The sequence below is a fragment of the Homo sapiens genome, chromosome 14, assembly GCF_000001405.40.
Source record: "Homo sapiens chromosome 14, GRCh38.p14 Primary Assembly".
Classification (NCBI taxonomy): Eukaryota; Metazoa; Chordata; class Mammalia; order Primates; family Hominidae; genus Homo; species Homo sapiens.
Window position 1 is genome coordinate 89,404,695 of NC_000014.9, and position 15,888 is coordinate 89,420,582.

Below are 15,888 nucleotides of genomic sequence, written 5' to 3' on the forward strand. Positions count from 1 at the left end.
CAGCAGAAAGCAGCCCGCCTGGCAGTAGGCACCGGTGAGAAGGAGGCCGTCTTCAGGGAGAGCCATTTCCGACGCTGGACAAGGCAGCCCCAGGTCGAGGATGAAGAGGATTGTCACTTCACCCAGAGACCACAGAGGAGTCTCACACACATTACAAAATTACATGTTCCACCCCACCCAACATTACACTAATTCTTAGGAATTTACACATCCGAACCAGACCACACTGTCTTCCAATGAGCATTATTTATCCAAAAAAATAATAATAATAAGTCATCTCTTCCTCCTAAAAGGTCCATCAATGAGACAGGTAGGTTGACTGGTGTCACGGTTAGGGGAAATGCTCTTGATTCTGCATTCACAACACCAAGAAGAGAAAACTAGAAGCAACTGCTCACGTGGGGTGCTGACACATAGAGGTGCAACCTCAGTTTCTTTTTTTGTTGTTGTTTTTCTTTTTGAGACAGAGTCTCACTCTGTCGCTCAGGCTGGAGTGTAGTGGCGTGATCTTCACTCACCGCAACCTCTGCCTCCCGGGTTCAAGCGATTCTCCTGCCTCAGCCTCCCAAGTAGCTGAGATTACAGGCGCCCGCCACCAGACCCGGCTACTTTTTGTATTTTTAGTAGAGACAGGGTTTCACCATGATGGCCAGGCTGGTCTTGAACTCCTGGCCTCAAATGATGCCCCCGTCTTGGCCTCCTAAAGTGTGGGATTACAGACGTGAGCCACCACACCTGGGTGCGACCTCATTTTCAAAACTGCCTTTGAAAAAGAATCTCATCTACCGAGAGCAAACGTGAAGAGAACAGCAAATTAGAGACAATTTGTATCAACAGTGTACACGCAGGGAGAAAAGCTTCCTCACTTGGCTCTGATGCCACTGAAGGGGTCCTATGAGGCAGGGGGCTCAGGATGGAGCCTGGAAACCGGAAGCTGAGCAGACAGTTGTGTGCTCTGTGCAGATGCAAGAACTTTACATGTGCTGACAATTGAGCCCCATCTCAACGGTACAAAAATATACTCTGTATTTGCCTTTCTCTATCCTGTGCCCCCAGAGTTAATTCTGGGTTTATTTGGGTTATTTCAATCCCCTATAACCCATATTCACAGGATATTTAAAGGAAGCACAGAGAGATCATCTACAATGTCTGCTATACTGAGAAGGCCTAGGCAAGCACCAGGGGTAAGCACATGCCCTTCAGAATTGGAGGGAATCGGGCCAAGCATGGTGGCTCACAATTGGGAGGATTACTTGAGGACAGGAGTTCAAGACCAGACTGGGCGACACAGCAAGACCCCACCTTTACTAAAAATATATTATTTCTGGAGACAGGATCTAGCTCTGTCACCAGGCGATCTTCCCAACTCAGCCTCCTGAGTAGCCGGGACTACAGGTGCGTGCCACAATGCCCAGCTAATTTTTTTATCTTTTGCAGAGATGCAGTTTCATCATGTTGCCTAGGCTGGTCTCAAACTCCTGGGCTCAAGTCATCTGCTTGCCTCGGCCTCCCAAAGTGCTGGAATTACAGGTATGAGCCACAGTGCGCAGCCCTACAAAAAAAAAAAATCTTGAAATTAGCTGGATGTGGTGGCATGCACCTGTATTCTCAGCTACTTGGGAGGCTGAGTCAGGAGGATCACTTGAGCCCAGGAGTTCAAGGTTTCAGTGAGCTATGATCATGCCAGTGTACTCCAGCCTGTGTGACAGAGACCCTGTCTCAAAAATAAATTAAATCAATAATTTTTAAAAAGTTGGAAGGAATTAGGTTCCTTCCAATTAGGTTCCTAGTAAGTTCTGCACTTGCTAGCTGTGCAACTTCTAGCAAGTTACTTAACCACTCAGAGCTTAACTCATCATCTATTTTAAGAAAGAAAATAATAGGGCCTACTTCATAGGGTTTAGTGAGGAAGAAATCAGATACTGCATATGGAAAGCACAAAGCAAGCATGCCTATATTTATAAGCTAAAATTGTATTTAAAGCACTCAGCTCTGGATATAATAAACATACTTTTGTACAGTGTTTCCTTTATAAACCCTTTGATGACAATGTTTTTTGTTCAAGTAGCAAGAGGAAAGGTTAAAAAAAAAAGGCACAGAAATAGAAATACACACATACCTTATAATCCAGTCTGGAAAAAAATAACTGCATTCTACTTCTCATTTACAAGTACTCAGAGAGGTTAGTACATGCTAATCTTACACTCCTAAGTAAGACCTGTATTTAGGGAGTGTAAAACTTAATCCCAGACATTAAAACTCTACCTTAATTGATTTAGGCACAGATCATCCATAGACGAAATGAAAAAAAAAAAAAAAAAACTAATGAGAAATTTTATAGAGTAGGGAACAGTGACCTCATGTGAACCCATGGCTCAATCTCAGCTTCCCCAAGAGGGGGATGACCAGGCTTCTGGAAGTGATATATCCAGAATGTGACCCAGACGTTCGTACTTCCTTCCATTTGACAGGAAATAGAAGGAGAGAGAGAAGCAAGTTACACGAAATCACAAGGAAGTAAACAGAATGCAAGTACTCTATAGTGTAAGCCATGGGTCTCTTTTAACAGGGAAGGGAATGAAAAAGGAAAGAGGGCATAGGAGTGCTGCAGACTGACACAGACAGGAAACATCACAAAAGGCACTGCAGGAACCACATTTGGACCCTAATTCAAACAAACATTTTGTAAACAGGGATATCTGAATATGGACCTGGCATTAGGCAACACCAAATAATTGTTCATTTTGTTAGGGGGGACTTGAGCATGGTTGTTATGTAAGAAACCGTCAATTATTCTTATGTATACCGAAATGTTTGAATTGTAAATGTCATCTGCTTCAAACTACTTCAGCAAGGCTGGGTGCAGCGACTCATGCCTATAATCCACAGCACTGTGGGAGGCTGGGGCAGGAGGATTGCTTGAGGCCAGGAATTTGGGACCAGCCAGGGCAACATGGCGAAACCCCGTTTCTATGAAAAATACAAAAAAAAAAAATTAGCCAGGCATGGTGGTATGTACTTGTAGTCCCCCCTTCGGAGGCTAAGGCTAAGGCTTGAGCATGAGAGTCTGAGGCTGCAATAAGCCATGATTATGCCACTGCGCTCCAGCCTGGTCAACAGAGTGAAACCCTGTCTCAAAACAAAAAACCGAAAAACAACTTCAGAAACAGCGACAACAAAAAAGAATAAATAAAATAAGTGTGACAAACCTTTGTCAACTACTGAATCAGGATGTGTGTTATGGGGGTATATCAAGTCATTATACGATTCTAGTTCTGTGTATGTTTGAAAATTTCCGTGATTCAAAAATAAAAATAAAACTCTTATCTTCTGAAGTCCTTTCAGAGATAAAACGAAAGCCAAGCTGTCTCTTTTGCCCTGACTGACTCATTCATGAGAACATGCTCTTGATGAAATCTCAGCAACTGGAAAGACCTCAAGAGGGCACCTAGTTCAGGGATTCTCAAACCTGGCTCCATGCTGGAAACACCTAGGAAGCTTAGCAGAACTACCAGTTTTCCCCAACCCACCTCACACCTAATGAATCACAATCTCCAGAAAGGGGCCCAAGAAAACGGGAATTTTTTTTTTTTTTGAGACAGGGTCTGGCTCTGTCACCTAGGCTGTATCTCGGCTCACTGCAACCTCCACCTCCCGGGCTCACACCATCCTTCCATCTCAGCCTCCTGAGTAGCTGGGACTACAGGAGTATGCCATCATGCTCAGCCAATTATTTTTGTATTTTTTGTAGAGACATACATGTTGCCCAGGCTGGTCTCAAACTCCTGCACTCAAGCAATCCTCCCGCCTTGGCCTCCCAAAGTGCTGGGATTACAGGTGTGAGTCACCGTGCCCGGCTGGGAATTGTTTTTTAAGTGCCACAGGTGATGTAATCTAGTATGTTCCCTCCCCAACATCCCAGCCAAACAGTTGTCCAGCAGGGTATGTGTTCCAAGCCCTCAGGGACAGGGATCACACAGGATTCCACATTTTCACTGCTACGTCAAGCCTAACCGTATTCTTCACTTTCAGAAGAAAATTAAAAGTGGAATAGCTAATTCACTGCATACAACTTGCAAGGTTTCAATGTTCTCGTTCAATTTAAGGTATTTCTCACCAACCTTCAGGTGCATTTAGTCACTGTGTTGAAGGCAACTTCAGTGTGGGAGCTCCCGCCAAATAAAATCTCATAGGAAAAAACAAGTTTACCCATAGAGCTAAAGGAGCTTTCACTGGGCAGAGTATCAGGGAGAATGCCATAGTAGCATACCCCAAGTGACTGGGCCAGGTCAATGCCCTGGAAGGACCTGGGTGTACCTGAGCATACCTGGGAGCCTGCACCTCTCACAGCAGCCAGCAGCTGGCCTGGGGGAACCCAAGAAAGAGGAGAAAAGTGGAAAAACTCACACCTCTTGCTTTGTTCTCACAGAATCGCAAATGCTGGGAACAAACTCCCAACCACAAAACTGACTGGCATTTGATCAGAAACATGTCAACACAGGTCAGGATGGCTGGGAAGCCAGAACTGAATGTTTCATAACATTAACAATCTCAAGTCTTTAAAACCATTCTCTTTCAACAGGTGATACCTGAATGTATCCGGATTGACAATCTTCATCCCTGGAAAACATGACTCCCAGAATCCAGCGGTGGGGGACGGGGGGGTCGCATGGCGGGAGAACAGCTCCTCCCAGTGTGCCTCAACACAGGGCATCCAACACCCACTTGTCACTCCCAAGGCTGACTGATGAATAATGTTCCCAAGTCTCGCTGCACGCCTTGGCGTTGGTCTTTTCTAACATTTCAGAGTGTGCATTTGCTAAATTACTTCTATGTGCACCGGCATTATGTCAAACACGAAGATTCAAGCATGCAGGAACTTGCAGACTCGTTTTACACCAAACTAAACGCCCTGTTTGTTGCTTTATCACTGCTGTGAGGCTTTGGGGGACCTGAGCAGCACTTTCTTCTCCACGTTCTCAGTCTGGAATTGCTTTTGAAGACTTTCCCTTTCTTGCCACAAAGACCCACCTATACAGAAGCTTTAAATACCACAGACCTGGTTCTTTACAGAGGAGCAATGAATGTCCTCTAAGCTCAAAGAATAATCTTAAAGCACTCAAAAAAAGCCAAGTCCAGAGGTGGCTCTCCAAATGCCCAACCTGAGATACGGAGGGAAGGAGAAAGAGCTTCATGGTCAAGGAAATTCCTCTCCCTGATTAAAGGGGCATACTTTGATGGTTACAGCTACACAAAAATAAGGACCTGGGGAGGAGGGAACCAGAAACTTATGAATATTCAGATCTGCACGCTCGACCCAGGCATCATTTGCACCAGTGATCAAAGTAAATCTCTCCTTAGTGCCCACATCTTTCCTCCCAGGCAACACCCCTCCCCAAGCCCCGCGTCCCCACCCCCCATCTCAAACAGAAACCGAGTGAAGAGCATTTGCACACAAACACGTCCAATTTGAGCAAGGAGCAATACGGTTGGCCACTTCCTGATTCATACTCTCCCATGCCAAAGACAAGGAGAATATTCTCAGGCTCAAGATTCTACTTGAAATGGTGACATGTTGCCAGAGAGAAAGAAATTGAAGGCCCCAGCCCCGCACAGCCACTGATCCCACACAACAGTGGTCCTGCGCCCGAACCTGAACTTCAAAAAGAGGGAGAACCAGCACCCCAGCTGCACACAGCAGCATTATTAACACAACACACAAAGCGGGAAAACACAGTCACATGAAAACTTAGTGGAAGGAACTTTCTCTGGCAATTTATCTTAACCGCGGCTGCATTACTTTTCAGGGCTCAAAGTCAGATCACAATTTTGTTTTCCACTTCTTAACAGCTGCCCAATTTCTACGAAACCTATTATGTTCCTTAAAACAAAAATAGGCCAGGCGTGGTGGCTCATGCCTGTAATCCCAGCACTTTGGGAGGCCGAGGTGGCTGAATCACTTGAGCCCTGAAGTTTGAGACCAGCCTGGGCAGCATGGTGAGACACCATCTCTACAAAAAGTATAAAAATTAGCAGGGTGTAGTGGCACACACCTGTGCTCCCAGCTTGTTCGAAGGCTGAGATGCGAGGATCACTCAAGCCCAGGAGGTCAAAGCTGCAGTGGGCAGTGATCACACCATTGCACTCCAGCCTGGGTGACAGAGCAAGACCCTGGTCCCAAAAAAAAAGAGGAAAAAAAAGAAAAAAGAAAAAAGAAAGAAAAAGAAAGCAAATTATTAAAACCGTCTTCTTTTCACTGACCATGAAGTACAAACTATGGCTTTAAAGCAGGGGTCCCCAACCTGGGGCCATGTACCAATCAGTGGTCTGTTAGGAACGGGGCTGCACAGCAGGAGGTCAGCATTGCCACCTGAGCTCCACCTCCTGTCAGATCAGCGGTGGCATTAGATTCTCATAGGAGCACAAACCCTACTGTGAACTGTGTATGCAACGGATCTAGGTTGCGTGCTTCTTATGAGAATCTAATGACTGATGATCTGAAGTAGAACAGTTTCATACCAAAACCATCCCCCTTGGCTCTCCACAAAATGGGTCCCTAGTGCCAAAAACATTGGGGACCTCTGCTTTAAAGTCAATATTAAACTTTTTAAAAGTCAGTCTCTAATGGGACCCTCACTCTGAGCCGGGAATTTCAAAGTTGTCACTTATACAGACACCAGATTTCATGACAGTCACCTGGGCAACTCATGTCTGTTTAGTCTGCGAGCGTAAGTATACTCAAGTCTCTTCTCAATGTTCATCACTGTCCACTTATGCCAGAACACTGGAGAAATTTCCCTTCTCCTAGTTCATATTCAGGGAAAAAAAGAAACACCATTTTTCTCTAGCCCATGGTGGCAGTGTATATACACACACATACTTCACGGTTAATGGCTGTCCTTGGAATACTGACCTTTGTTAAGACCCTAAAACCAAAGTGACCCATCCACACTGAGGGATGTTAACTGAGAACTAATCAATTCTGTAAACCACTGTTTTATCTTTATGGAAACCCTATCAGTGGGAAACTCTCAAATAGTACAAATGCTAATAAACAGTACATAACTAATAGGCTTAGGGAAAGGAAATTCTTTAAAATTATCTAAATGAATTAAATAGACTAAAACCCACTTACAACTGCTACTTCAATGTGGTGAATAGAAATTCATTTTTAATAGAGAAAAATTTTAAATTAAAAAAAAAAAAAGAAAACCTTGGGTTCCAGACACAGAGGCTTACCTGACTCCTCTCTTTGTCCACTTTCTTAAAACACTTATTCAATGATAAATTGTGTCTCACTGAGTTTTTCCACCCAGTAGGTGCATTTGCAAAATACGGAAAATGTTCCAAGATCCAGTTGTAGATATCCTTCACTGGCAGGCGCTTGGTTGGAGAGTCCTCGATGGCCATAAATATGAGGCAGCTGAAGGAGTAGGGGGGTTTGCAGTTGGGGTTCTGCCTGGCATCGTAGGGCATGTCAGAGTGGGCAGGGGATGGGGGGGTGTCATCGTCCAGGTCCTGGACGGGGCTGACACTCCTGAGGACCGACTCCCCAAAGCTCTTCAGCAAGTTCTTGCTCTCGTGCAGCCAGTTCAGGTTGGTCAGCTCTTCATCTTCCATGGCCCCCTCTTCTAATCGGATGTCAGGCAGAGAAAAGTCGAGGTCATCGTCTTCCTGAAGGGCCTTGGAGAAACCGCTGCCCCCGTAACACTGACTCAGTCCACTGGAGACACTAATTCCTGAGCTTTCTGGCTTCTTACTGGGAGGCATGACTGGACCCATTTACGTGAAGGCTCCTAGTAAAGACATCACAAAGAAATGATGAGCTGGCGAGGCCCAAAACAGAAAGGCAGACTGTACCCCTCTGATCCTGTTGCCTCCCTCTGCCGCCTCTATGGAACCCCTGCTACACAGGAACACCACCTTGTGACTCCCACACTAAGCAACACAATCCCACAATTCCACCACAGAGAGATAGGCTGATGAGAAAAATCAGCCCGCCATTCATATAGCAAGGTGACCTGATGCCCCTTAAATAAAATAAGACCAGTAACACCGGCCAGGCACGGTGGCTCACGCCTGTAATCCCAGCACTTTGGGAGGCTGAGGCGGGACGATTGCTTGAGACCAGGAGACCAGTTTTAAAGTACGTTAAATTTTACTGTGAATTATTTTTTCTTCCAGAACAGAAGAAAAGCAAGTAACTTCAGGTACCACACAGAATACATGGGAATGTAAGATAAGCCATTAACTGAAATTAGAGCTGGTGAAAAAAGTCAGGAGAGCAACTGCCAGTTTCAAGACAGCAAATTCAATTCAATTCAACAAAACATGCCATAGAATTCTATCCCTCCACCCCGACCCACCACCATCCCCATTTTTATCAATGACCTAGAACACGGAGTAAAATAACATCTGATGAGAAAAGAAAACGAGGAGGTGGTACGTTTACAAACAGAATGACCCCTACAGACACAAAGCATGTTCAACCCTCCAGCACCCAACGTAACACAGAAAGAACAGTAAAGATAACCAAAAAGGTCTCCCACTCTCCGTAGCGCTAAAACAATATGCTTGGTTTAAAACTGTTAGGTTTTAATTCCCCCCACAAACGAACAGTAAGAAAATCAAGCATCTACCTAGAAAACAAATGAACAGGCTGGGCATGGTGGCTCACGCCTATAATCTCACCACTTTGGGAGGCTGAGGCAGGAGGATCACTTGAGCCCAGGGGTTTGAGACCAGCCTGGGCAACATGGCGAAACCCCATCTCTATGAAAAATACAAAAATTAGCCGGGCATGGTGGCATGTGCCTGTAGTCCCAGCTACTTGGGAGGCTGAGTGGGAGGACTGCTTGAACCCAAGAAGCTGAGGCTGCAGTGAGCCATGACTGTACCACTGCACTCCAGCCTGAGCAACAGAGTGAGATGCTGTCTCAAAAGTTTTGAAGAAGGTAAGGAAGAAGGGAAGGGAATGGAAGAGAAGGGGGAAGGGAACGGAAGAGAAGGGGGAAGGGAACGGAAGAGAAGGGGGAAGGGAAGGGAGAAGGGAAGGGAAGGAAGAAGGGAAAGAAGAAGGAAAAAAAGAAGGGAAGGGAAAGAAGAAAGGAAGGGAAAGAGAAGGGAAAAGGAAGGGAAGGGAGGGGAGAGGAGAGGAGGGGAAGGGAGGGCAAGAGAAGGGAAGGGCAGGGAAGGGCAGGGCAGGGCAGGGCAAGGGGAGGAAGGAGGAAGAAGCGGGAGGGGGAGGAGAAGGGGGAGGAGGAGGAGGGATGGAGGAGGAGGAGGAGGAGGAGAAGAAGGAGGAGGGATGAATGAACATATTTAAAAGCAAAGACATAGGCCAGGCATGGTAGCTCATGCTTATAATCCCATCACTTTGGGAGTCTGAGGCAGGAGGATCCCTTGAGCTCAGAAGTTCAAGACCAGCCTGGCCAACATGGTAAAACGCCATCTCCACCAAAAAAATACAAAAATTCGCTAGGTGTGGTGGTGTGTGCCTGTAGTCCCAGCTACTTGGGAGGCTGAGGTGGGAGGATCACTTGAGCCCAGGAGGTTGAGGCTCACTGCACTCCAGCCTGGGCAACAGAGGGAGACCCTGTCTCAAAAAAATAAATAAATAAAATTAAAAAGGCAAAGACATGACCCTTCTATGTCTCTTAAATGTTCATTAACACCACATCTAAAACAACTGCCACTTCAGCTGTGGAAGCTCTATTAGGGAATTCTAGAAGGCATAATCCTGGGCACTAACCTACCAGCCAAGGGTGCCTGTGAATTATAGTACCTTCCCTCTTCCAAAAGGTAGAACCTGCTAGACGCAAGGCCTAAGGGGGAGCTGTGGTGAGAGGCCCAACCGGTTTTTTTTTTTTTTTTTTTTGAGACAGAGTCTCACTCTGTTGCCCAGGCTGGAGTGCAGTGGTGCAAAATCCGCTCACTGCAACCCCTGCCTCCCAGGTTCAAGAGATTCTCCTGCCTCAGCCTCCCAAGTAGCTGGGACTACAGGCGTGTGCCACCATGACTGGTTAATTTTTGTATTTTTAGTAAGACGGGGTTTCACCATGTTGGCCAGGATGGTCTCAATCTCTTGATCTCGTGATCCACCCGCCTCGGCCTCCCAAAGTGCTGGGATTACAGGCGTGAGCCACCGCGCCTGGCCAAGATGCCCAACTCTTAAGGAGAGAAAACTTCATGAGGCATTGCAGTACAGACCAGGCAGGATGCTCCAGACGTCTTGGGTTCACTCACAGGGAATATTTCTTTCTGTCAAATAAGGAGGTTACCCTGACACATTTCAGACAAAAAACAAGCTAGCATCTTTTGGCTTGGGGATACAACAGAGTCTGGTCTGATCCTGCTTTTAACTTCTTTATGAACGAATTATAGCACCACTTGTCTTTCTTAAAGTTTCCTCAGATCCCATCAGAAAATTTTCTGATGACCAGCATATGCCCACAGTAGAGTATAAAACAGAACTACCCAGCCACTGAAGTCAACTTTAGCTCTAAATGAAAGTTTTATGTCTCCTGAGCTTCCAAACAGGAAAATTATATCATGGCTGACAGTAAAGTAATTTAATTGCACTGTTGCTATGACAACATGCTGCTCTCTTTCTTTTTAATTTGCTTATTTGTCAGTAGCTTCCCAGAGGAACTAACACGCTATTCTCCATGTTTCCTTTTGTTTTAAACAAACACTGCCAGCAATATGGTTTTAGGAGAAAAAGTGGCATTGTCACGAAGAGAGGGTTATGGGAGTTCAGTACCCTTGGATCATGTGTGCGTTTTGTGCTGGGACCCCGTACTCTCCAACCACTCACTGCATCCCTATAAATCCCGCATTTTATACCAACAGGGTGAAGAGCTGCTGATCACTACAGTTCCATGTAAAAACAAAACAAAACAACAATAACCAAAAAAAAAAAAAAAAAAAAAAAAAAACAGTTCCCAGAAACCACAGCTGAGGAGTTTTCCATTATTATACTCTAACTACAGATTTCGCCAAATCTTTTTTTCCTCCTGTTTCAGAGGGAAAAAAAAAGAATCTGGATCATGTGAGTTGCAGTTAAGCAAACATTTTTAATCTGCTGCCAACAAGGCTGCTCCACCAGATACGCAAATAGTTATTCACTGGTGACCTCCTTACAACTTTTCTCTACACACACACACACACACACACACACACACACACACCCTCTTTTGTTTTTTTTATGACTTGCTGTGTTTTGTTACCCTCTTTATTTTTTAACGGAGAAAATGCGGCAAGAAAGCTTAGTTTCTCGCCTAGTAAACAGAAGGTCTCCAAATAACTGACAAAGACATTACTGGCCCAGCTCTGAACAGATGTTCGATGCGAACTTTAAAAAGTTAAGAAATCTTCCCAGAGCCGAGCAGTAGCGAGTTTGGGGGGCCGGGTCACCCCCGCCCACCCAGCACGCGCGCGCGCGCACGCACGCGCTTCACTCTCGTCTACTGTACTTGTCAAAAACATTTCAAGGGGACCTGCGGGAGTGGCGATTGGCTGCACCCCGCGTCAATCAGCGGCGTTGCCGGGCAACGGGGGAAACTGCTCTTATCCCCATATACAGGGCAATTGGGAGCTCGCATACCTTCACTGCCGGTCAGATGTCATAAACCTTTTATTGGCCGCACCGCGGCGAGCCTCGAAAACAAATCAATAAAAGCCCGCCGTCCCCCAACTTATCCAGGGCCCAAGGAGGGTTTCAAACAGGGCCGGGATGAGGGGGGTCGGGCCTCGGGGGTCTCCGGAGACGTTCGTTGCCTGTGCCAAGTCTGCACAGTTTGGCCGGGGGGTGATCTTTGTTAGGAGCCTGTTTCTCATCTTGGGGTCTCCACTTGATCGGAACCCCCTCCCCGGCCCGGAACGGCGGGGACCCCGTCCTCCGCAGACAATACCAACTCTGTTCCTTGCGGGCGTCTTTTCGGAAACCGAGGCACCGGGAAGCAGCACGCACGTCGGGGCAGGAAACTCTTCGGACCCGGCAACTTCCCGGCTCGGGGGCTCCCGGGGTCCACACCCGACCCTCCCCCCAGGACCTGCGGGGTCCCTCGTCTTCCCAGAGCGGCGAGGTAGTCTCCAGGACCGTCTCGGACGCGCCTCCCGCCCCGGGTGCCCCCCGAGCCCACGCGGGAGCCGGCAGGAGCGGGGTGCAAACTCACCTGGCCGGAGCGGGGCACGGGGGTGCGGGGGCGCCGCTGCCCTTCAGCAGGAGCCGACAAACTTTCGCGGGCGCCCGGCGGGCATCGCTCGGTGGCCCCGCTAAGGACGCGCGGGCGCGGCGCGGCGAGCCCGGGGCGGCGGGCGGCGGGGGGCGGCCGCGGGCGCGGGCGGCAGGGGCGCGGGGGTCGCGGCGCGGCATGGGACCTGCGGCGTCCGCCGGGCGCGCCGCGCGTCCTCCCGCCGGCCCCGCCGCTCTCCCCGCCCCGTCCCGCCTCCCGCTCGCCTCCGCCGCGGCGCGTCGGGCCGGGGCGCGCCGAGCGGCGAGAAATTGTTTCCACTGCAAACAAAAAAAGGCGACACATGACCAGGCAGGAGGAGGGGAAGCGCGGGGAGGGAGGAGGGCGGAGGGAGGGACAGAGCGGAGGGCGGAGGGAGCCGGAGAAAGGGAAAACGTGGGCCTGGCCGCCAGCGGCCTGGGGCGCGGGGCACTGACCCGCCGGGGCGGACCCTGCCCGCGCCCCTCGCGCGCCCCAGCACTCAGCCAGGGCGGAGGCCGGGGCTGGGCCGCGCGGCCTCGCCTCTTGGGCCCCGCGGGGCGGGGGTGACCGGCGCGGGTCCCGCGACCCAGGGCGGCCGCGACCGTGGGCGGTGGGGCAGGTGGGTCAGGCGGCGCGTGCCCTGTCCCCTCCCCGGGCTCCGGCCACACGAGCGGGCCGGCGCTGCGCTGCTGGCAACGTGTCGCGGGAACGCTCCTACCCCATCTGCATGCCTTACATGGCTCGAAAGTAAAAATAAAAAGAATTACGATGCGGGCGAGGCTTGTGGGGGTGAGAAGAGGAGATTCCACGTCTCCCCAGTGCTGCGTCCTGATAGGACCCCCAGGGCCTTCCGAGCCCTCTCCCAGCGACCACCTCGTGTCCCGGAGGTAAGCACCGCAGCGTCCCACCCAGGTGGCCGCGTGTCTCCCGAGGGAGGGCCGGTGGCCATTACAAGACAAGAGGCACCGTCCTAAAGGCCACGCCGGTGGGGCCTCTCAAGTGGGTTGTGCGGAACGCCCCGGCCGGCCTAGAGAGAAAACAGGTCTCATTTCCATCTCAGTTTGAGCTCTCAGGAACCAGACTGACAATTCGCAAGCCACCCAGCGAAATGGTGCAGCCACCACTCTAAGTCTCTAGGCACCTCCAAATAATAGCACCCACTGCTAAAGCCACACCAACCAGCCGCCTTGGGAGAGGATGAGAGGAGAGAGTCCAACAGGACACCCTGGTGGTGACAAAAATAAAAATGTGATTGCACATTACTCCCAGGTAGCCAAATTGGTTGGTTCCTCTACAGAGGAGAAGCCCAGGGCACCCTTCCTGCCACCCCCTCCTGAGCCAGTGGACAGGACATCGTGAGCGGTCTGAAAACTACAGAAAAAAACAGCGAGTAGACCTGGAGAAAGCTTTCTAGCATGCAGTACTTTTAAACCTAGCCAAAAGGAGGGACTAAGGGAAACACCAGTTAGGCTTCTGAAAATTTTTTCTGTCTCAAAAAATAGACCCCCCCCCCCCAATCTGAGAGTCATTCCCCCTAACAAAGGTTCAAGAGGGCAGGTGACAAGTCTTCAGCAAAGATGTGCCTTTCAGACTCACCGGAGACCTTACTACTTCCAAGTTGTGTGGCATCTCCCCATCTGGAGACAATTAGGAGGTGGAAGCCCAGGGGTAGCCTGAGGTCATCCAGCCCCACCCCTTTGATTACTGAGCACTTGATGCGACCTACCCAAAGTCACTAAGCAAAAGGCACAAGGTGGCAGAGACAAGTCAGATGATCTTTGAAGTCTCACGCCAGAGATTCTCAGGGTTAGAAGTGGTAACAAAGCCAGGATGAGACAATGTGTACCCTGCTTTCCTGTAGCTCCGGCTAATGCAGGTCCTGCCCCTCCATCAGCGCGTCAGTTGAGGGTGCTTATTCTCCGCCAGAGGAACCAAGGCCAGAGACCTTTGTCCAAGCCCTTGCTGGCCTAGAGAGGACGAAGTCGCCCCCTTACATCTTCCTCTTCCATCCCCAGCCCCCAACCCCACCCCCAAGTCCCCCAGCTACACTCACACAATAGCCAGAAATCTCTTTATATTAAGTAGAGGTGGCACCTTATTTTCACCGGCCCCAGTCCCCTCCTGCTTTCTCAGAGTTCAAAAAGAGGGGATGTGAGCCAAAGGTGATTGTACATGGAATATGTCATTCCATGTGTGTTTTTGCTTCTTGCATTCTCAAACATATTTCTTAATTTCTCTCTCCCATTACAGTTGCAGCAAGAGATGTGAGAAGGTGTCACCCTGAAGAGGAAGTGGTGGACCAGCCCTGCCTGATGTGGACAGCAGGGGACACATGTCTGCCTGTCGGTCTATCTGAAATGGGGGAAAAAATGCTGAAAGCCAAAGGAGGGCTTAATGTGGCCTTTTCCACCTTCTAATTCCATAGAACCTCAGCTCTGGGACTTGCTTCCTGACCTAGGGTGCAGGGGCCAAATTTGTTTGGGAACAACCCCATTCACAATTCCCCATGAACTTTCAGAAAGGACCCTTGCGTCTTAGGTCCTGAGAAGTCACAAATAAGCAAGCTGCATTGTCTAATGTCTTGTCTACACTGTTTTACAAACACATTTAACAGCCGAATTGTATATGTGCCCTAGAAATCACTTTGAGAAACACTTATTTCCTGATAGAGGACTTGATGGGACCATTCTGCAGCCCCATCTGAGCATGGGCTGGAGAGTACATAAGTATCTGGGAGCTGGAAGTCCTCAATTCCAGGCTTATCTGCCCCCATCAGCGTGGGACCTCAGTTCCTCCTCCAAGGAGAAGAGCGCCCCTCCCTTGATGTTTTGTGCATTCTTTTGCTAAATGTTTCTCTGGTCAAGAACTTTAATCCCCCTACACACACACTGTATTGGTTATTAGAGCAGCATGGCTATTTATGGAATAGTTAAGTATAAAACCCGATATACCTTGCCCCCCTTGAGGCAGTACAACTGAGTAGGTGAGCAGGTGCAGTCGGGAAGACCTGAGAGACTGCCCAAAATAGGAAGAGTCCGAGGCAGGCCTGGAAAGACAGTCTTCTGGGGAGGGATCCTGCAAAGAGACTCCAGTACAAAGGATATATGAGAGGAAATACGGGGAGGCTGGGCAGGCACACACCGCTGGCCTGCACAGAACCATATTCCTTTCGTGCTTCCCTCTATAGGTGACTCCACTCTCTACCCTGCAGGTTGGCTTCCTCTGCTCAATGATAACCACACAGGGCTGCCAGCAGCAAGCCCTGAGGCCTTCTGACTTTTAGCACCCACCACCTTTGAACTGCCTCAAGCCTTCCATGACATAGTTTAACTTCTCAGGGAAATAGTGCGATTGGCCTAGCCTGAGTCACATGACTCCCCTACGCGCATGGCCCCCCACCACTCCCTACTGCTAACAGCTGAGACAAGGGACATGGTGAAACATCTGGGGAAGGGAGGGGAGATGACTTTGGAAGTGGGATATCTAATAAGGGTGGGTTGCTGTTTAACCTGTGGAAATGGGGAAGGGGTGTTCTTGACCTGAGCTTCTCACCTGGGGATGCCCATCAGAACCATCCAGAAGCCACACCTAACCAACTAGAGTCTTCTAGGATGGTGCCTGGATATGTGTATTTTGAGAAAGCACAAGGGGATGATTTTGCTTACAAACTGCT

General features: G+C 49.1%; 1 protein-coding gene and 1 long non-coding RNA gene across 3 annotated transcripts in view, besides 7 other annotated features; one reads left to right on the forward strand and one right to left on the reverse strand.

Moving 5' to 3' along the window:
• Nucleotides 1-15,888, reverse strand: part of FOXN3 (forkhead box N3) — a 462,989-nt gene that overhangs the window by 248,518 nt on the left and 198,583 nt on the right. The window contains exons 1-2 of one of the 2 annotated variants that reach the window (NM_005197.4): nucleotides 12,177-12,539; nucleotides 7,240-7,796 (exon numbers count right to left, since the gene is read on the reverse strand). In NM_005197.4, the coding sequence (NP_005188.2) occupies nucleotides 7,240-7,782 (543 nt within the window). In that variant the 5' untranslated portion in view covers nucleotides 7,783-7,796; nucleotides 12,177-12,539. Of the gene's footprint in view, nucleotides 1-7,239; nucleotides 7,797-12,176; nucleotides 12,540-15,888 lie in introns of those variants that run through there. The other variant, NM_001085471.2, reaches the window with a different exon arrangement.
• Nucleotides 11,391-11,685: an enhancer, noted in NCBI's record as "tiled region #4092; HepG2 Activating DNase unmatched - State 1:Tss, and K562 Activating DNase matched - State 4:PromP". NCBI's record gives its function as "activates a minimal TATA promoter and a strong SV40 promoter by Sharpr-MPRA in HepG2 and K562 cells {active_cell/tissue: HepG2 | K562}" and the evidence as "EXISTENCE:reporter gene assay evidence [ECO:0000049][PMID:27701403]".
• Nucleotides 11,700-12,233: an enhancer, noted in NCBI's record as "H3K27ac hESC enhancer chr14:89882738-89883271 (GRCh37/hg19 assembly coordinates)". NCBI's record gives its function as "activates a minimal SCP1, AML or CMV promoter by ChIP-STARR-seq in naive H9 embryonic stem cells {active_cell/tissue: H9 hESC(naive)}" and the evidence as "EXISTENCE:reporter gene assay evidence [ECO:0000049][PMID:30033119]".
• Nucleotides 12,234-12,766: an enhancer, noted in NCBI's record as "H3K27ac hESC enhancer chr14:89883272-89883804 (GRCh37/hg19 assembly coordinates)". NCBI's record gives its function as "activates a minimal SCP1, AML or CMV promoter by ChIP-STARR-seq in naive H9 embryonic stem cells {active_cell/tissue: H9 hESC(naive)}" and the evidence as "EXISTENCE:reporter gene assay evidence [ECO:0000049][PMID:30033119]".
• Nucleotides 12,234-12,920: a biological region, named in NCBI's record as "H3K27ac hESC enhancer GRCh37_chr14:89883272-89883804".
• Nucleotides 12,381-12,590: a silencer, noted in NCBI's record as "silent region_5999". NCBI's record gives its function as "represses an Ori minimal core promoter by ATAC-STARR-seq in GM12878 lymphoblastoid cells {active_cell/tissue: GM12878}" and the evidence as "EXISTENCE:reporter gene assay evidence [ECO:0000049][PMID:35858748]".
• Nucleotides 12,391-12,685: an enhancer, noted in NCBI's record as "tiled region #4157; HepG2 Activating DNase unmatched - State 1:Tss, and K562 Activating DNase matched - State 4:PromP". NCBI's record gives its function as "activates a minimal TATA promoter and a strong SV40 promoter by Sharpr-MPRA in HepG2 and K562 cells {active_cell/tissue: HepG2 | K562}" and the evidence as "EXISTENCE:reporter gene assay evidence [ECO:0000049][PMID:27701403]".
• Nucleotides 12,631-12,920: a silencer, noted in NCBI's record as "silent region_6000". NCBI's record gives its function as "represses an Ori minimal core promoter by ATAC-STARR-seq in GM12878 lymphoblastoid cells {active_cell/tissue: GM12878}" and the evidence as "EXISTENCE:reporter gene assay evidence [ECO:0000049][PMID:35858748]".
• FOXN3-AS1 (FOXN3 antisense RNA 1) lies at nucleotides 12,660-15,099 on the forward strand. Its single transcript, NR_036500.1, has 2 exons — nucleotides 12,660-13,102; nucleotides 14,466-15,099. It is a non-coding gene; the product is annotated as an FOXN3 antisense RNA 1 (long non-coding RNA).